General features: G+C 37.3%; 1 protein-coding gene across 1 annotated transcript in view; it reads left to right on the top strand.

The window, feature by feature from the left end:
* Positions 1-21,564, top strand: part of PSME4 (proteasome activator subunit 4) — a 106,925-nt gene that overhangs the window by 70,868 nt on the left and 14,493 nt on the right. Inside the window, exons 29-41 of the mRNA NM_014614.3 lie at positions 109-245; positions 1,772-1,825; positions 2,127-2,256; positions 3,241-3,322; positions 4,390-4,543; positions 5,050-5,119; positions 6,327-6,452; positions 7,166-7,318; positions 9,918-10,022; positions 11,314-11,405; positions 12,137-12,268; positions 12,659-12,867; positions 14,351-14,436. Of these exons, the coding sequence (NP_055429.2) occupies positions 109-245; positions 1,772-1,825; positions 2,127-2,256; positions 3,241-3,322; positions 4,390-4,543; positions 5,050-5,119; positions 6,327-6,452; positions 7,166-7,318; positions 9,918-10,022; positions 11,314-11,405; positions 12,137-12,268; positions 12,659-12,867; positions 14,351-14,436 (1,530 nt within the window). The remainder of the gene's footprint in view (positions 1-108; positions 246-1,771; positions 1,826-2,126; positions 2,257-3,240; positions 3,323-4,389; positions 4,544-5,049; positions 5,120-6,326; positions 6,453-7,165; positions 7,319-9,917; positions 10,023-11,313; positions 11,406-12,136; positions 12,269-12,658; positions 12,868-14,350; positions 14,437-21,564) is intronic.

Below are 21,564 nucleotides of genomic sequence, written 5' to 3'. Positions count from 1 at the left end.
TGGACTTTTGTGTCTGGCCTCTTTCACTTAGCATGACATTTTCAAGGTTCGTTCAGGTAGTATGCATCAGAACTTCATTTTTTTTCCTGCTTTTTTCTTTTTAACAAGATTCCAAAGTCATGTGTTGAAATAGCGGAATTACTTCAACAGTCAAAAAACCCCTCTATCAACCAGATATTGCTTAGCCCAGAAAAAATTAAGGAAGGAATTAAACGCCAACAGGAAAAGAATGCCGATGCCCTAAGGTAATTGATGAATGGTGTACTTCAATAGATGACATTATAGATAGTAAGTTTTGGCTTTTTTTTGAGACAGAGTCTTGCTCTGTTGCCCAGGCTGGAGTACAGTGAGACGATCATGGCTCACTGCAACCTTCACCTCCTGGGTTTAAGCTCTTCTCATGCGTCAGCCTCCCGAGTAGCTGAGATTACAGGCATGCACCACCACACCCAGCTAATTTTTGTATTTTTAGTAGAGACAGGGTTTTACCACATTGGCCAGGCGGGTCTCGAACTCCTGGCCTCAAGTGATCTGCCCACCTCGGGCTCCCAAAGTGCTGGGATTACAGGCATGAGCCACTGCGCCTGGCCGATAGTAAGTTTTTAACATCTCTAAAATATAGATGTATAACATAACTGCTTAATGATGTTTACACATTGACTTCTGAAAAAAATACAAAAAAGTTGAGAAGTAATTACTACACAGATTCCTGTTTTTCCTTTTTAAGCTATGGAGGTATAAAACACCATCTTAAAAATAAGGCCGAGCACGGTGGCTTATGCCTGTTATCCCAGCACTTTGGGAGGCTGAGGTGGGAAGATCACTTGAGCTAAGGAGTTCAAGACCAGCCTGGGCAACATGGTGAAACCCTGTCTATACAAAAAAAACAAAAATTTAGCCTGGCATGGTGGCACGCGCCTACAGTCCCAGCTACTCGGGAGGCTAAGGTGGGAGGATCGCTTGAACCTGGGAGGCAGAGGTTACAGTGAGCAGAGATCGTGCCCCTGCAGTTCAGCCTGGTAACAGAGCAAGACCCTGTCTCAAATAAACAAAACAAAAAGTTATTTCACTGTCCTATCTTTTTTTTTCTAGTGAATTATCTTTCTTTTTTTGTTTTTTTAAGGTAGTAATATTTCAGAAACTACATAACTGGTACACATCAGTCATTAATTCCTAAATTCAAGTTTAGCAGATGTATCATTTAATAGTTCTTATAATAGTAATAACTTATTGGTCAAATTTGGTATCAGGATTTTAATAAACTGTTTTTGGATTCTTGATACCAAAGCACTTAAATGCTTCACTGATAACACTCAAGCAAGAGTCTTCCTAACTTGATTTTGTCTTTGCCTTATAATTAGTATATGAATATACCTCTTTGTTGTTTTCTAAAATGTCTATAAATAATAAACTCTTATAGCCTACCTAATATATTTCAGAAACCTGGTGTATCGTGTGTGTGTGTGTGTGTGTGTGTGTGTGTGTGTGTGTGCCACTCCCAATTAATTGATTACTACTTACAGAGTTACTTGTGCATGTCCATTCAGGAAAAGTTGAGTTCACTCTTCCTAGCCTTTCATGAGCTTTTCCCAGCATCTCTGTTCACCTGTCTACTTTCATTCTGGCTTGCTTCTCATCAGGCCGTTTACAGTCAGGTGGTGGGAAGTAAGTGGGGAAGGAGGGTGAAATTGGCTAGAATTTGAATTTCTATTATATTTTTGATGTTCATTTTAGTATTATAGTAAAATAATACCTCACCTTTTTTTTAAAGGAACTATGAAAATTTGGTAGACACCTTGCTAGATGGTGTGGAGCAAAGAAACCTGTAAGTGCAAAAGATTTTTGTAATTCTCACAGCATTTTTCATAAATACTATAGGAGTTTTCTACATGGAAGGCTATGAATGACTATGTCACAAAAAGTTATATTCCGGTTTGTGTATTTGGAAGCAGATTAAGAGGAAAAGAGATGGAGGGAAAGTTTGGGATTAATGATAGGAGCAGTATTCTTCACTAGACCTATTTTAATTCTTGAGAAATTTAAAATTATAAGGTGTTTCACATACAGTTTTTTTTTTCCAAGTGGTTTTATGTGTGATATGCTTTGTTATTTTTCCTCCTTTTAAGGCCCTGGAAATTTGAACATATAGGCATTGGGCTTCTGTCTCTACTGCTGAGAGATGACCGAGTGTTGCCTCTTCGTGCCATACGGTTTTTTGTTGAGAATCTCAACCATGATGCAATTGTAGTTCGAAAGGTACATACCTTGTTTTAGCTACAGTCTTGGGTTTGAGAATATGTACGTGACCTGAAGTCTTTAAATTCTTCACAAGCAATACACACTTGGTTAATAAATATCTTGAAGTGTATTGATTTGAAATCTCCCCCTGTTGATTCAGAGATGATAATGATTCATCTAACAAATGAACATGTTTAGGCACTCTGTTTAAAAGACTGGGGATATAGCAGGAAATAAGTTTATAGGCTAATGGGAAAGATTTAACAATTAGAAAATTAGGTGTGCAGTGTGTTTCAGGAGGGGCAAGAAACTCGAGGGTATAGCTTTTTACTCTCCAAGTGTTAGAGGTGAGGTGGGGGTTGGGGAGATGGCCTAAGCTGAAGCATTGGAGAAAGACCTTTAAAAATACCCTGAGGCTGGGCAGGGCTTGGTGGCTCATGCCTGTAATCCCAGCACTTTGGGAGGCTGAGGCAGGTGGATCACCTGAGGTCAGGAGTTCAAGACCAGCCTGACCAACATGGAGAAACCCTGTCTCTACTAGAAGTACAAAATTAGCTGGGCATGGTGGCACACGCCTGTAATCCCACCTACTTGGGAGGCTGAGGCAGTAGAATCGCTTGAACCCGGGAGGGGGAGGTTGCAGTGAGCTGAGATTGTGCCATTGCACTACAGCCTGGGCAACAAGAGTGAAAACTCTGTCAAAAAAAAAAAAAAAAAAAACCCTGAGGCTAAGATTTGAAGAATGAGCAGGTATTGGTTTAACAAAGAAGGGGTCAAAGTTTTCTAGGCAGAGAGACTAGCATGTGTCAAGACTGTAGAGTAAGAACTGCCTATGATTCATTCTAAGTCAGATTTAGCACTCACATGGATGTACTGCCAGATGTCGATAGGCGAGGTGTTTTTTTAAAGAAACAGAATCCTATTTCTGCTTTGAGTAAAGCAGACAACCAGTTAAGTGATTTAAACTTTTTTTTATGAATGTGTACCTTTTTCCTTTTCTAGATGGCTATCTCAGCTGTTGCTGGTATCCTTAAACAGCTAAAAAGAACCCACAAAAAGCTGACCATTAACCCCTGTGAAATCAGTGAGTACTACCAGAAGTAATTAATAGTGCTTTCCAATAAAACTCAGAAAATTTTCTTGACATGTATAAATTCTAGTTCTTGACCTCAAATATTGTTCTATGGATATTAACACAAAATATAAATAATATTATGAAGGAAACAGTTGACTTAGTAAAAGCTAGTGATAACTATTTACAAAAATAGATTGACTCTTTCTGCCTTCATATTTATCTCACCTACTAAGCAATTATACTAATTATTTTATCAACTGTATTTCAAAGACTTAAATTGCTGTTATTAATTTGTTAAATGTTTCTCTTTGGGTGGTGGGATTAGGGACAAGGTGAATTTTCTTCCTCATACCTTATTGTATTACCAGAATTTTTCAGAAGAAAAAACCATTTTTTTCTGGTCTCCAATCCAGGATTAAAACATTGCATTTAAATTGTATGGTATCTTTAGTTTCCTTTAATGCAATGTTTAATCCTGGATTGGATTATAGTCCAGAAGAAAATGTTTTAATTTTTTTCATATAAAGTACATTCAGTGGGACAACTGTCAAAATTTGAGTAAAGTCTGTTGATGAAATAATTTTACTGTATTAATGAAAGCTTTTTTGAGAATTGTATTTTGATTATTTGAGATGATGTCTACAGTTTATACTCATAGTTTAGATAAGTATGTGTGGAGAGAGAGAGAATATCAAAGTATGCATGGTAAAATGTCAAAATTTGGGTGTCTCAGTAAAAGATGTGGGAATTTTTTGAGCTCTGTAAGTCTGAAATTATTATTTCAAATCTAAATAGTTTAAACAAAATTAATCCTTTTAATTTTGGTAAAAGGAATGAAGTGTGTTTCATACTTGATCTCTCCCCCAAAATAACTGATTCAACACAATTTAGTAGATAATGCCATCTACTCTGTTTTGAAATGTGCCTCCAATTGCTCATATATATGTTATCTTAATGTTATTTTTGTAGTGTTGTTTTGTGAAGACAAAGTTATGCTGGTACTGTTGATTGAAATTTGGTAATAATTGTTGGGCGAATATTTTTAAATTCATCAAATGTGATTGTCTTTTCCTTAGGTGGATGCCCTAAACCCACCCAAATTATTGCTGGTGATAGGCCTGATAATCATTGGTTGCATTATGACAGCAAAACTATACCAAGAACTAAAAAAGAATGGGAGTCAAGTTGCTTTGTGGAAAAAACTCACTGGGGATACTACACCTGGCCAAAGTAAGTAACTTACTGTGCACCTTATCATTAAATGCCTTTGATATAACTGCTTTATCATATTTTGGTTTCTGGGGAGGTTCAGAGGCACTTGAAGGTTCTTTTATCTTTCCCCTTCCCTAGTCCTCTCTTTCTTTTGCTCCTGCCAATGCTATGCCTCATTCCTGCCTCTTTCCTTGTGCAAAAACCCTTAGCCTTTCTGAATCCCATGGTTATATGGCTAAGGAGGTTATTAATAGCTGCTCTAAATTATATTCCTACCTATTAATAATACATATGCCTAAACCAGCCCAGAGAAATACATATTTTTCTCTCCTTATTTACTCCATTTGTCATTAGGACACAGTGATCTGATAGATTTTTAAGGCCTAGACTGTTACTGCTGTACTCATCTCCCCAAACTTAGCATCTAGTTAGAGTTCATTAAAAGTGCCTTCTAATGCTTTCTATCCATGAAGCTCTAATATTTTTTTCTATGCGTATGATAAATATGAACTCTTACTATATAGGAATATGGTTGTTTATGCTGGTGTGGAAGAGCAGCCTAAGCTTGGCAGAAGCAGGGAGGATATGACAGAGGTAAGCATTCCATTTCACCATGGTTCAAATGCATCTTGTTTTGGGCCACTGATTTATCTCAACCTCACTTCAGTTCTTCTTCTTCTTTTTTTTCTTAATACAATTTGTGTTTTTCTGTATAGCACTGCATAAATATTGGTGACTATGTAATCCATTCTCCTCAACCCCTTCATACTAGTGCCAGTTGACATAGATGTTGATGTATCTAAGACTGAGTTACTACCCCATTCAGCCCTCCGTTGGCTACTGCTTTATGTAATTTGCTGCTCATTTCTTGTATCAGTTCTGATACAAGCGTTTTGAAGGAAAAGTTAATGACTGATTTTTAGTTTTCTATTGCATATAAATTATGGGATCTCCGTAAATGCATGTTGGTAGATTTCAGTTAAAACTCCTTAAACTTCATTTAATTTACTTCACTTTGAAAGTTGACTTGGCTGGGAGCCATGGCACATGCCTGTAATCCCAACACTTTGGAAGTCTGAGGCAGGTAGATCACTTGAGCCCAGGAGTTTGAGACCATCCTGAGCAACATGGCAAAACCTTGTCTCTACAAAAAATACAAAAATCAGCTGGGCGTAGTGGTGCACACCTGTAGTCCCAGCTACTTGGGAGGCTAAGGTGGGAAAATTACCCGACCCGAGGAAGGCAAGACTGCAATGAGCCATGATCGCACCACTGCACTCCAGCCTGGATGACAGAGTGAGACCCTGTCCCAAAAAAAGAAAAGAAAAAAAAGAAAGTTGAGAAAGGGTTTTTAAGTTTATGTACTTGGTCCTTGAGTTAATGGTATTGTAACTTTTTCTGATTCTGAACAGTTTGCCTTTTAACTTCTGGTGTTAGGTAAATATGGAAGTGATTTGTTGGGGCTTGACTTATAGTTTTGGGGATTTTAACAAATTGCACACCAGGTGTTACAGTGGCTTTCAGTCTTCATTTCCCAAGCAGAACATTTGTTGATTTTTAATTCACAGTGTGAGAAATAGGATTCAAACTTGAGAATCTGAAGGAAAACTTCCTGTTTTAGCATTTTTAGAGGGAGGTACTTGGTTTTAGAAATCACTGTAGTCTATGAGAACTAAGAATTCATGGAAACAAAAATACAGCCTGCTTTTGACTATCAAAATCTTGTAATTTTAACTTTTTCAGAATCATGTATTTAAGTGGATTTTAAACGCTGAATATTGTTCTTTTTTTAACTTTATAGGCAGAACAGATTATATTTGATCATTTTTCTGATCCTAAATTTGTTGAGCAGTTAATTACTTTTCTATCATTAGAAGACAGAAAAGGAAAAGATAAGTTTAATCCACGACGTTTTTGCCTCTTTAAGGTAACTATATTGTTTACATATCCTCTTTGTAATGCTTAGTAACTATTCAGTTCGTAGGTTCATAACTTATAAATATTTGATCAAAGCTAGCCATCTGCCTTGATCTAAAATGGCACTGGAATTTACACTGAACATGTACAGACTTTTGTTGTCGTTATTCCCTAAACAAGACATTACAACCAGTATTGACATAGCATTAATATATAATACAATTAGTAAGCATTGTATTAGGTCCTAAAAGTACTCTTAAGATGATTTAAAATATACAGGAGGATGTATATAGGTTATATGCAAATACAATACCATTTTATGTCATGGACTTGAACATTTTGGTATTTTGGGGTGGGGATCTTGAAACCATTTCCCCACATACACCTAGGGATGACTGTATTTATCTTTAATGTTTGTTGTAATTGGCATTAGAAGGAAAAAAAATACCCAAAACTGCATGCGTTTTTTATGTTTAGTTGCTTTTTTTGAGGTGTGATACTTAGAGAGATTATTAATGTTTGTTTCATTGGTTACATTTTAATGTGATATTTAAAATGACAGTATTCTTACTATTTTAACTTACCGCAATTGTTAAAGCAGTTCTAAAGGGGAGTGTGCTTGGAGCTTTTAAGCACGTTAGTAATGTACAGAATAATTACAAGCATAATTATAATCGAGATGATAGTCATTTGAGTACTGAAGAACAGTCTTTGTTTTTATAGGGTATATTCAGGAATTTTGATGATGCCTTCCTGCCAGTTCTGAAGCCCCATTTAGAACATTTGGTTGCAGATTCACATGAAAGCACCCAGCGATGTGTTGCAGAAATTATAGCTGGTTTAATCAGAGGTTCTAAGCACTGGACATTTGAAAAGGTGATGTATTAATATTTGTACAGAACATTTCCTGTTAAAGCTATGTTACCCATTTTGGTGGCAATTCCCAACACATTAGATACTGATAATTAAAATATGAAATCTTCAGTGATATGAAATATGCCGATATGTAGACATTGCTTTTGATTACAGATTACAGCCTAATGGTCTCTAGGAACATTTACTATCTTTAAATTTTTGAAGTTTTTATCCACATTGGGGGAAAAAATTTAAAAAAAATTAAAAAAGAATTCCAGTTTCTTGAAAAAGAGGAAGATCCTGGAACACTGGTCCTACATTATTGCACTGTGTCACTCTGCTGATGGTGCACGTGTGCTTCTCCCTTCATTAAGCCATTCCAGCTTCTCATTAAGTCCTTTCTCTTAGCCTCCTTATCATTTATATTACTTGTCCAGTCTTTTAGACAGTTGGAGTTTGACTCTCCCTTTTAGAGTATCCCTCTTTTTAATTGTAAGATATAGTTTTCACACACCTGCCTTTAAGGTTAGTTCATTAGCAAAATACACGAGACTAAAAATAACCTGGTCAAATGTCAGGACCACCTGAGCATAAGGTAGACCACTATTTTGTCGAAGAGATGACACAAATAGGGTTTTTTGGTCACCTTTTAGGAGGACTGCAAACACTTTTGCCTACAAGAAACAATTTTATTTTAAAATGTCACATGTATTCTTGTCATCCGTTACATTACTAAAGCCACTCTTGAGTTACCTGTTTTGCAAAACATAATTCCTATCCCTATATGTTCTTTGAGATAAAGCTTTTTTTGATAAAATCAAAACAGTGCTGCCACTGGAAATTTTGTCTCAAACCCTTCCTGCTGATTGAAGAATTCCTTCCTTCCTTCCTTCCTTCCATCTGTCCTTCCGTCTGTCCATCCATCCGTCCATCTTCCTTGTCTGTCTGTCTTCTCTTTTTTTTTTTTTTTGGACAGTCTTACTCTATCGCCCTATCGCCCAGGCTGGAGTACAGTAGTGTGATCATTGCTCACTGCAACCTCTGCTCCCTGGGTTCAAGCAATGCCTCAGCCACCTTCAGTAGCTGGGATTACAGGCATGCGCCACCTTGTCAGGCTAATTTTTGTATTTTTAATAGAGGCAGGGTTTCTCCATGTGGCCAGGCTGGTCTCGAACTCCTGGCTCTTGAACTCCACCTACCTTGGCCTCCCAAAGTGCTGGGATTACAGGTGTGAGCTACTGTGCCTGGCCTTCATTCATTCTTTTAAAAAAAAAAATTCAAAATTTTTTTAGGAACTTAAAAAATTAATAATAGTAACTGTTCATGTTTATGGGGTACATGTGATATTTTGATACATGCACACAATGTGTAATGATGAAATCAAGGTATATCCTTTTTAACTAAAATACAGTCCATGGACCTGCAGCAGGGGTAGCACTTGGAAGCTTTTTAGGAAAGTAAGATCTCAGGCCCACTTGACATGAATCAATCTGCATTTTATCAAGACCTCAAGGTGATTTGTATGCTCATTAACCTATGAGAAAATCTATGTGTGTAAATGCAGTCTCTGTACGACGTACATGTTTTTATGGGCTATTTATCCAAGACTTGGAATTTGAAGATTATATCTCAGGCTGATTACTAAATTAAATTAAAATGTCATTGCCTCTTTAAGGTTTAATCAAATGATCTTGATAAACATGGAAAACTTGATTGAGGTTTTGTTTCAGCCTAGCGTACTATTATACAAGATTTTTAAGAACACATCAGTCATATGAGAGATTTGTTTTGTTTTGTTTTTTTAGACGGAGTCTTGCTCCGTTGCTTAGGCTGGAATGCAGTGGGATGATCTCGGCTCACTGCAACCTCTGCCTCCCAGGTTCAAGCAATTCTCCTGCCTCAGCCTCCCGAGTAGTTGGGATTACAGGCATGTGCCACTACGCTCAGCTAATCTTTATTTTTTTTGTAGAGACATGGTTTCGCCATGTGACCAGCTTGATCTTGAACTCCTGATTTCAAGTGATCCTCCTGCCTTGGCCTCCCAAAGTTCTCGGATTACAGGCAGGAGCCACTGCACCCAGCCAAGAGATACTTTTTAAAGCGCCATGCAAAGTATTTACTCTTTTCTGAATATTTTTTGGGAAAAAATTTCACCTATACCTGGATATGTATGGTGATAATGTACTTTGCTGGATTATTTGGGTGCTCTAAAAAATAATTAGGGCCAGGCATGCTAGCTCATGCCTATAATTCCAGCACTTTGGGAGGCCAAGGTGAGAGGATTGCTTGAGGCTAGGAGTTCAAGACCAGCCTGGGCAACATAGCAAGATCCTGTTTTTACAAAACATAAAAAATATTTCAGGGCATAGTGGCACACACCTATAGTCCATGCTCCTTGGAAGGCTGAAGCGAGTGGATCACTTGAGCTCAGAAGCCTAAGGCTACATCGAGGTATGATCATTCCACTGCACTCCAGCCTGGGCAATAGCATGAGACCATGTCTCAAAAATAATTTAAATGATATACCTGTATGTGTGTACATTTCCAGGTAAAGAAAGATATTTGAAGAAAAATGTTCTGAGTGTCATTAACTCTTACCCATATATTTTGTTTTGAGTAGGTGGAGAAGCTTTGGGAGCTTCTGTGCCCTCTGCTTAGAACAGCACTGTCCAATATTACCGTAGAAACTTATAATGACTGGGGAGCTTGTATAGCAACATCCTGTGTAAGTTACCCTACATCTTTCTTTGTCTAACTGATCTATTCAAACTGTTTGATACTGTCTCTCAAAGTGTGTGAAATCTCATAACACTTCTTAAATCTTTTTGGGTTTTGTTTTTTAATTGTTTTTATTTTTTATTTCCATGGGATTAGAGACTATTATTCTAAGTGAGGTAACTCACTTCTTGAATCTTGAAAGTTTGTTCATACTTTTGTCATCTTATGTAATTGGAGATGGCTCTATTCAGCCTTTCAAATAAGTCTTGAGAAGTAACTCTTAAGTGATTATTATATCTTCTCTGCTGTGGTAATGCATTTTAAAATTAAGTGACAGTCATGTATTTGGAAATGTCACTTACATATAGTAAAAGCCACATAATACAAAGTTATAGGTATTATTTTTTATACCAGATATGTCCATAGCTCGTGTACTTTGATTGAAGATAATCCATTTAGCTAACAACAGCTTTCTCACTGTTAACTTGAACTGCGATAGTCACATTTGAGTTTGAGTCACCTATCAGTTTTAGTTTGATTTTCTTCTCCTGTACAGTCAGCCCTCCATATCCATGAGTTCCACATCTGTGGTTTCAGCCAACCTGAGGAGATGGAGAATATTTCAGAAGGGGGTGGGGGGATGGTTGTGTCTATAGTGAACCTGTTCAGATTTTTTTTTTCTTGTCATTATTCCCTAAACAATACAGTATAACAGCTATTTACATAGCATTTACATTGTATTAGGTATTACAAATACTCTAGAGAAGATTTAAAGTGTACAGGAGGATGTGCATAGGTTATATGTAAATACTACACCATTTTCATAACAGACTTGAACATCTGTGGATTTTGGTATCCTAAGGGAGTTCTGGAACCAATCCACCACAGATACCAAGGGACGACTATACTTATATATGTTTTCAGTATTTCTAAAATAATTGAATATGGCTGGGTGCACTAGCTCTCAACTTTAATCGCAGAACTTTGGGAGGCCGAGGCAGGAAGATAGCTTGGGGCCAGGAGTTGGAGACCAGCCTGGGCAACGTAGGGAGACTCTGTCTCTACAAAAAATAAAAAATTAGCCAGGCATAGTGGCGCATGCCTGTGGTCCCAGCTACTTGAGAGACCGAGGCGGGTGGATTACTTGAGCCTGGGAGGCAATCATACCACTTCACTCCAGCCTGGGCAACAGAGTTAGACCTAGCCTCAAAAATAAAATTAAATTAAATAACTGAGTATGATTTGTTTACAGAATTGTAGGTTCTCTGTTGAACTGTTACATCATATTTTAAACACAGGAAAGCAGAGATCCCCGGAAACTTCACTGGCTTTTTGAACTGCTGTTGGAATCACCATTGAGTGGTGAAGGAGGATCCTTTGTAGATGCATGGTAAATTTTTTTAAAAAACCTATGAGGTTAACACGAAAGGTTTTGTGTTAACTTATGTATAAATGGAAATGAATGGTCTATACTTGTAAAGTCTAGATGAAGTAATTACTTTCTTCTGGAAGGTGATGTGATCTGGTTCCATATAACATGTGATACTTAATAAGAGTTATTTATTAGTTGGACAAGTAAGTGAGATGTAGGCAACCTGAGCAATTTAAACACAAATTAGAGTCAGCATTCTTTGCTGTCAAATATTTTATCAGAATTGTCTTTTGTACTTTTGTGTCTTCATCACATCTTATTTTTCACTTTTTCCTGTTAAAAAGATACAAAGAAAGAGTAATCATTTCAAGGAAAAACTGCCTTGTTTGGGGCATATGGTGCTGTAGAAAGTTAGACAATAGTAATATGGATAATTTCATTAAAAAGAAGAAGCACTTAATTAATGAGAAAACTTGAATTGTGATGTTTAAATATTAGTCAGTGAGTATTCTTAAGTCAGTATTTCTTTCAGTTTTCTAGTAGTGTGGATGAAATGCAAATACAGAGAAAATGATATAGGAAAAATAAAATCTTCATAAAGAGGCTATTTTGAGTTGTGGATATTGTAGTATTTATTAAGTGAAAAAACGAAAAAGCTTTAAGTGAAATACAGATATTGTCTGTCCATACTGTCAATATGTAAAGGCAGAAAGGGCCTCCAATATAACACTACGATGCTTTAATTTTAGTCGACTTTATGTACTACAAGGTGGCCTTGCCCAGCAAGAATGGAGAGTGCCTGAACTATTGCACAGACTACTGAAGTACTTGGAACCCAAACTCACCCAGGTTTACAAAAATGTCAGAGAAAGAATAGGAAGGTAGGTACTGTTTTCTCTGTGGTGTACCTCTCGAGTTCTTTGTTTGTTTTTTTTTAAATTGTAATAGGTAATAATACATGCTGGTTATGTTGTCAGTGGGTTTCATGGTGTCTTTCTCAAATTGTTTGCTATTGTGTCGTGGGAAACAAGATGAAACACTCTGAATGTAAACTAGGACAGCAGTGTGCTCAGAAGCCAGAGATGAGCAGTCACAACACCTAAGTGTTAATACCCCTTAATTATAAGGCTTCTTTTACACACAGGCATAATCTAAGACCCACTCCAGGAATTGTCTTGGGACAGTTTACTTTGATTGGGTCATAACTTTTGAACCTCATTTTTATTTATAATGTGGCACCTCTTCCTATTATTAAGTATTTTATTTTGCAGTGTGCTGACCTACATATTCATGATAGATGTATCTTTGCCAAATACCACACCAACCATATCGCCTCATGTCCCTGAGTTTACTGCTCGAATTCTGGAGAAATTGAAACCTCTCATGGATGTGGATGAAGAAATTCAGAACCATGTTATGGAAGAAAATGGAATTGGTGAAGAAGATGAGCGAACTCAGGGCATTAAACTCTTGAAAACCAGTGAGTGGATAAAATTAGTAGAAACTCAGTTGAAAACATCTATTTGATTATCCTGTAGAGTTTTTTGCACCACTTTTTTTATTGTGGTAAAATAGACATAATGAAAAATTTACTGTTTTAACCATTTTTAAGTGTACAGTTCAGTGGCATTAAGTACATTCACATCCTTGCGCAACCATCATCACCATTTATCTCTAGAATCCTCTTCATCATACGAAACTGAAACTTTGTACCCTTTAACAACAGCTCCTCATTTTCCCTCCCCTCATCCTTTATAACCACTGTCTACTTTCCATCTCTGAATTTGCCCATTCTAGGTAGGTCACATAAGTTGAATCATAAGTCTTTTTTGTGTCTGGCTTATTTCATGTTACATAGTATTTTCAAGTTGAATGAATGAATTTCTGAATCATGTTGTGTCCTTAATCTGTTACCCATTCATCTGTTTGCTGGATATTTGGGTTTCCACCTTTGGCTATTGTGACTAATGCTGCTCTGAACATTGATGTTTGTATAAGTACCTGTTTGAGTTCCTGCTTTCAGTTCTTTAGGGTATGTACCTAGAAGTGGAATTGTTAGACCATGTAGTATTTCTGTGCTTAAGTTTTTGAAGAGCTGCCAGACTCTTCTCTGCAGCAGCTGCACCATTTTACATTCCAGTCAGCAAATGCACAAGGGTTCCGTGTTCTCGCCACCTGTTTTGTTTGTTTGCTTGCTTTTTTAAAGTATAGCCATCTTAGTGGGTATGAAGAGGTATCTTGTGATTTTGGTTTGCATTTCCCTAATGATTACTGATATTTCAAGAATCTTTATTAGCCATTCGTATTTCTTGTTTGGAGAAATATCTACTCATGTCATTCATTACCCAGCCCTCTGCTGCCTTTCACTCTGTCGTCCAGGCTGCTTACTGCAGCCTCAATCTCCGGGGCTCAAGAGATCCTCCCACCTCAGCCTCCTGAGTAGCTGGGACTACAGGTGTGCAACACCACACCCAGCTAATTTTTAAATATTTTCTAGAGACAGGGGTCTCCATATGTTGCCCAGACTGGTCTTGAACTCCTGAGCTCAAGGGATCCTCCCGCCTTGGCCTCCAAAAGTGCTAGAATTACAGGCATGAGCCACTTTACCCAGCCCATTTCTGAATTAGATTGTTTTGTTGTTTTTGAGTTTTAGTTCTTTATTTATTCTAATATCAATCCCTTATCAGATACACAATTTAGAAATATTTTCTCCTATTCTGTGGGTTGTCTTTCTACTCTCTGGATAATGTCTTTTTATGCACAAAAGTTTTAAATTTTATTTTGGGTGCTGTTATACTGCTTCTTAATAAGTGTCTAATTTATGAAGTAACATAGATGATATCTTTCATAGCACCGAAGAGCTGTCAGAGTGGCTGTATGACAATAACATTACAATATTGTTCTACTTTGTGGTCTGTAAATGAATGGCAAAGACTTACTCTGCATCTTTGTTTTCAAAATAGTATTGAAATGGCTGATGGCAAGTGCAGGAAGATCCTTTTCTACAGCAGTTACAGAACAACTTCAGCTTCTACCTTTGTTTTTCAAGGTAAGGTTTTGCTGAAATTAAGAATGCATCTCCTTTTGACCTTCATAAGGAATTTGTGTTCATCATCTGATGGTTGAAGTTCTTCAGACAGTGTGAATTTTGATTGGATCTCTGAAAAGTAGAATGGTCACAGGAAAATCATTAGGTGATAGTGGTTTAATATTTGTTGAAATCGTGTTTTAGTATTAGGTGATAGCAGGATTTTGACAGCTACATGAAAATTTAACGGAATATTGTTTTACCTGGTAGCTAATTTCTGAGTAATAGCAGATTAGAGGAATTATTGACAGTTAAAAGAAAAGCTACAAAGAAATTTTTTAATCTAGCCATTTCTGACTTCTTTACTAATATAATCTACAAACGAAAATGTTCAGTATATTGTGTTTGTTTTACAATGTTAAAGGACCCTATAACTGTTTCTAACAAATATCTGCAGGAAATCATTTGCCTCTGGTATGATATAATGACATTTTGTTAATGAAAGGCATGGCTTGAGGTGGTTTTATCTAATCATCTACTCAGGGGATGCAGCTAGTGGAACTAAGGTCACAGGTTGACTCATTAGTTTCCAAAATCATAGTTTGCAATAATGATATGGTTGGCTGTGGTTAGGAAAACAGTGTTAATTGTGCATTTGAAAGGCTTGGCATAAACATCACCACTTTTTGACATTATTCATCAGTACAGTTATTATTATCTAAGGAGGAGGGCCCTTATTATTGTTAACAAATGGCATGCTAAACTTTTGATTTGCTATAGTATATTTTGTCGTTAGGAAATTTCACAGTTAACTGTACCAGTAACTTTCAAAGATTGTACTACTAAAATACTTTTAAGAATGCTATGCAAAGGATGATACCCATGAATGTCCCTGGGATCTTTTGGGGTATAAAAGTAGACAGTAGCTGCTAGTATATAGGTCCTTCTTACCTATAGGTCTTTGGTGTATGTAGGCTTTGTCTGCCTAGTACTTAAATGTTTTTCCTCTGTCACATACCAAGCGGATATAGAACATTCATAAATTCATAATGTGCAATGATTGTTAGGATAGCTGGGGTTCCATCCCATTTCTTTCATTCAGAACAAATACAGGCAAGTATGTAAGAGGTTGGTAGAAGGATGATTTGAATCCACTTGAAGTTTATGAAAAAACTTATATCATTAGAAACCTGTACGATAGAGGCCCGGTGTGGTGGTTCACACCTGTAATGCCAGCACTTTGGGAGGCCGAGGCGGGTGGATCACAAGGTCAAGAGATCGAGACCATCCTGGCCAACATGGTGAAACCCCATCTCTACTAAAAATACAAAAATTAGCTGGGCATGGTGGCGCACGCCTGTAGTCCCAGCTACTCGGGAGGCTGAGGCAGGAGAATCGCTTGAACCCGGGAGGTGGAGGTTATAGTGAGCTGAGATCGTGCTACTGCATTCCAGCCTGGCAACAGAGCAAGACTCCATCTCGAAAAAAAAGAAAAGAAAAGAAAGCTGTACGATATAAGTTACCATTGACAAGCCTAACATCTCACCTGGATATACTAATATTGACGATATACTAATACTAGACCATCATGCTGAATGGGGCCAGAGGTACAAAGGCATCATGTCATAGTTATTTTGCACATAAATCAGATGTGTAGAGTGTGAGGATAAAGAGAGGCGTTTAAAAGAAACGTGTTTACTAAACCATGAGAGGAGCACAGAAGGAGTAGAAGAGGCGGTCAGAAATTCCCTTTCCAACATATTTCAGATGCTTATAAGACTTATAAGTGAAGATGCTTTTATAAGTGAAGATAATGGATAAACATTCAGAGTTCAGTGGAATAGTGCAGCAGAGTTCAGTGGAATAGTGGTACAAACTTAAATGTCATCAACAGAGATGATACTTAAAACCATGATATTGAATGAGATCATCAAGGGAATGGGTGTAGATGGAAAAAAAAAAAAGAAGTATAAGAATTGAGCCAACATTCACAGGTTAGGGTGATGAGAACACAACAAATAGAGATGATTCAGTTAGCATATGCCTCGTAACTTACTTTATATGAACTAAATTAGAACCATTTAAGAGGACTAGATTATTTTCAACTGTCCAAAGTTTAAAACCCACATTACCTTTCTTTATTGTGGATGGTCAACAACATTCATATCAGAGGAGAGACCAGCGAATGGCAGCTTATCACATGGACCCCGCACCCCCCCACCGCTTTTTTCTGAGACAGTCTCACTGCAGTGGTGCAGTCATGGCTCACTGCAGCGTCAATCTCCTGGGCACAAGCAGTCCTCCTGCCTCAGCCCCCTGAGTAGCTGGGACTACGGGCATGCATCACCATGCCTGGCTAATTTTCTCAAAAATTTTTGTAGAGATGGGGTCTCATGTTGTCTAGATTGGTCTCCAATGGTCCTCCCACCGTAGCCTTCCAAAGTGCTAGGATTACAGGTGTGAGCTACTATTTTTGGTCTCCCATTCCTAATTTAATAAAAAATAGTTAATAAAAAAAACTTTGAAGTTTGTGGAAAATTTCAGTAACAGTGTAAGTTTAATTTCTCTCCTTTTTAAAAGAAATAAATGCCTTTTGAGAGAAAACTGAGAAAGTTGGAAGGAAATATTCATAAACTACCATTACCATTAACCTTTCTTATATGTATCTTTTTTTCTTAAAATTATTGTGAGTTTATAAAAGCAGCACATATTCATAAAAGTATAAGATAGACTGACAAGACTAATTGTGTATGATAACAGCCACTGTTCATAGTTTTATTTATATTTATCTTATTTATTTATTTTTTTTTGTATTTCCTCAAATGTTATTTTCCTACACAGTTGTTTGTCAGTAGAGTCAGGCCAGTAGCTCTGCAGCTTCCCTTTTATGAACCCAATCAATATATTGTATGTACGTTTCCATGTCAGTAAGTAGATACTTGTTATTCCTTATGTGGCTTTTAGAATTTAATATCCTGTGCTCTCTAGTAGTAGATGTTTGGTTTTATGACAGTTGTTCACCAGATAGACAACAAGAGGCAGTGAGTGGAGTCATTAACAGCGTGAAGTTTTGAGCCAGGCTGCCTGGATCAAATTCATCTCCATGGCCCATGAACTAATTAGGTAATCATGGGCATCTAATTCAACCCCTCTGAACTTTATCCCTCTCATCAGTAAAATGGGGATAATGATACCACCCATCTCCTAAGGATGTTACGAGGATTATACGAGTTAATACGTGTCCCTCATTGTCCAAATTGAGGAGTGGGTGGCTGAGTCTGATAACAAGGAATTATGTGCATTTTCCATTTCCTGAGTTGCCATTAGCAAATAGCAAGAGTTTAAATTAAAAGATATTGCATCCTAAATTGAGAGAATAAGGGGTATTTTCATATGGGAAGTGCTTAAAGCAGCATCAGGCACATGGTAAACACTGTAGACATGTTCCTCTTCATTAATGATACAGTGAACATCTTATACATATCTTTTGCACTTTGCACATATTTTTTATAGAATAAATCACCAGAAGTGAAAATGCTGGATCTACTTCAGCTAACACATTGTTGTAAGAAACATATGGTACATTGGCTGTTCTGTTAAAAATCTTATTTATCCTATCCCATAAAAAGCAGTTTTATATCCATAAAAAATCCTGAAATATATATGTATTAAAATTATATTTATATATATCTATATATAAACTTGCCTATTCTGGTCTAAGAGTCTTCATATTCTTAAGATTAAAGGAAGAGGTTTTCCAACCAAGAATAGCTTACAAAGTCCTGGCTTTCGGGTAAATAGAGTCCTAGTTTAAAATCCTGCCTTTAGGTTGGGCACAGTGGCTCACGCCTGTAATCCCAGCACTTTGGGAGACCGAGGCGGGCAGATCACTTGAGATCGGGAGTTTGAGACCAGCCTGAACCACATGGTGAAACCCCATCTCTACTAAAAATACAAAAATTAGCCAGGTGTGGTGGCAGATACTGTAGTCCCAGCTACCCAGGGGTCTGAGACAGGAGAATCACTTGAACCCTGGAGGCGGAGGCTGCAGTAAGCCAGATCTCGCCACTGTGCTCCAGCTGGGAGACAGTTCAAAAAAAAAAAAAAATTCTGCCTGTGACAGGTGCTTTCTTTGTGACCTTGCACAAGCTTCTGAACTTGTCTCCTATATAAAGAGTGTGAGTTTAATATCAGTGTCCCTCACAGAACTGTTAGAAGGATGAAATGACATACCTGTAAAGCAGAAAGCACAGTGGTAAAGTACATACTTATTATTTTACTAATCTTTAACTGTATTTTAATTTGGAACAATTAAGGGCTCAAATGGTGGTGGTCAGAGAGGTATTTTATCCTAAGTTTCAAACTTCAGAAAATGCTCATCAAAATCCACAACTATAGTTTCGCATATGTAAAACTTAGAGAAGAATGTACAGATATTGTGGTACATTGGATACAGTCACCTCGCATTGTTGGTATTTCTTTAGAAAAACTATTTTTTTCAATAATCAGGAGAAAAATATCTTATAAGGTGATTCCTTTGCTAACTAAATGAACAGCATTTTCTACTGGTTAACATAGTTTAGTATATAATCTATCTGGTGAAATTTATCTATTGGATTTTAGAATTTTACTGTTTTTAGTAGAACATTTTCACCCATGCTGTACTTGAGAGTATTGTGTCTTAATTTCATTAGAAAGACACATTTTTTTCGTAATGGTAGGAAGAGAGACGGCTGATTCAACAGATGAAGTGAGTCATCTTAAATTCTGGTGGTAATAGACCTTGCCAGTAAATGAATATCTTCTTTTTTATACCACAGTTAACTACCCAAACTCTAAATCACCTCATATTTACTGTGAGTGTGAATAAAATGACCAGGAAAACAACTCCACGTGTAATGCCTAGAGATTTGAACTGTTGAGTATTTACCATTTGTACCCTGACTTTGTTGGTGTATGTCCTTTTATGCCTTTGACTATGAATGTGTCTCTGCTTTACCCTACGAAAGTGTTTCTGAAATTGTTTTATGAATAACAATTACTTAATTCTGCAAGGTGATTTTGGTTTTTAACTCAGTATATCATGTCCATCTTTTCATATCATTACACAAAATTGCCTCTTTTTATGACTAAATTGTACCATCGTTTAAAAATTTAACCAGTTTTCTGTTGATGGAACCTCTGGCTCTTCTTAAGTATCTTGCACATGTGAGCATATTTGTAGGATACTGCCTAGGTGTGAAATTGCTGGGCAAAAGAGATGTATCTGCATTTTTTTTTAAGAGATGATATCTTGCTATGTTGTCCAGGATGGCCTCAAACTCCTGGGCTCAAGCAATCCTCCCACCTCAGTCTCTTGTGTAGCTGGAAGTACCTTCGTGTGCCAGCACCACCACTCCAGCTAATTTTATTTTTTGTAGAGATGGGGTCTCACTTGTAGTGGCCCAGGCTGCTCTCAAACTCCTGGCTTCAAGTGCTCCTCGTACCTTGGCCTCCAAAGTGCTAGGATGATGGGCATAAGCCACTCTGCCCAGCCCAAGTTTACCACTTTTAAGCTTTTGCACACCTCTTTGTCTCTAAAGAAATACCCTTATACTGCTCATTTTTTATTTTCCAACTTAAGTTACTTTGCTATGGATGTCCTGCCATTTTGGAGATGTGGTTAAATTACTTCCACCATATTCTTCCTCCACACCAAGGCAGGGTTTTGAATCTCCTTGTCAAGTTTATACTTCTGTAATTTTTTTAACCTTTTAAAACACAATTCCTACTGGAATTGAATTAAATTCATAAAGTAATTTTGGTCACATGCCAGGGATAAAAAATAATGTGTTCTGACATCGCACCAGTTGATGTTCAATAATTAATGTTCAATGTTATTTCCTTTTCCTTTTTTTTTTTTTTTTTTTGAGACAGGGTCTTGCTCTGTCACCCAGGCTGGAGTGCAGTAGCACGATCATAGCTCACTGCAGTCTCAGTCTCCCGGGCTCAAGGGGTATTCATTGTTACTGAGTTGATTAGTGTTTCTGGGCTTATTTGGTAGACACAGCACATTTTCTAAGAGAAATAGCTCGTACTGGCATTTTCAATTCAAATTTGGGATTACTAAGATTTTATTTAACCACTTGTATTTTTATATCTTTTACCTCTCATGTGAAAACTCTTGGTTCCTGTTGACAGTTACTCTAAATTTGATTTTTATACATCCCACAAAGCATTATATTACCCTGCTTTTAAAAGTCACTGCTCTAAGTATGTTTCCTGCCAGCCAGATAAACAGTGAGTTTCACTTATTTCATTTTGCTTTTGCTTTTTTTCTGAAGAGACTTTTAAGGGATTACTTTATAACAATAGGAATGATTCATACGATAGGATATCTAAACTACAAGGATGTACTACAGTTTATTTAACCAGACACTCTCTAGATCCAATAGATATTTGAATTATTTCCAATGTTGTGCTTTTGAAATAGTGCTACAATGTAGATCTTTGTGTAGACATTTCATATGTTTGCCAGTATATCTTTGAGGTAGGAGGGTAGACATACATTGCCAGTATTGGGGGAAATTCACCCCCAATATTTCACATAGGTTCTTTTCTATTTTCCCTAAGTGTCGGCCGGTCTGAGAAATAAAGGGACAGAGTACAAAAGAGAGGAATTTTAAAGCTGGGTGTCCGGGGGAGACATCCCATGTCAGCAGGTTCCTTGATGCCCCTGAGCCGTAAAACCAGCAAGTTTTTATTAGTGATTTTCAAAAGGGGAGGCAGTATATGAATAGGGTGTGGGTCACAGAGATCGCGTACTTCCCAAGGTAATAAAATATCACAAAGGAAATGGAGGCAGGGCGAGATCACAGAACCATAGGACCTGGGCAAAATTAAAATTGCTAATTAAGTTTCGGGCACACATTGTCATTGATAACATCTTATCAGGAGATGGGGTTTTAGAGCAGACCACTGGTCTGACCAAAATTTATTAGGCAGGAATTTCCTCATCCTAATAAGCCTGGGAGCACTACGGGAGACCGGGGCTTATTTCCTCCCTTAGCTATGACTGTAAAAGACAGCCGTCCCCAAAGTGGCCATTTCAGAGGCCTCCCCTTAGGGACACATTCTCTTTCTCAGGGATGTTACTTGCTGAGAAAAAGA

This window comes from Homo sapiens, chromosome 2 (genome assembly GCF_000001405.40).
Source record: "Homo sapiens chromosome 2, GRCh38.p14 Primary Assembly".
In the NCBI taxonomy this organism is placed as follows: Eukaryota; Metazoa; Chordata; class Mammalia; order Primates; family Hominidae; genus Homo; species Homo sapiens.
Note: the sequence above shows the minus strand (reverse complement) of the source record. Positions and strands in the feature narration are given on the sequence as shown.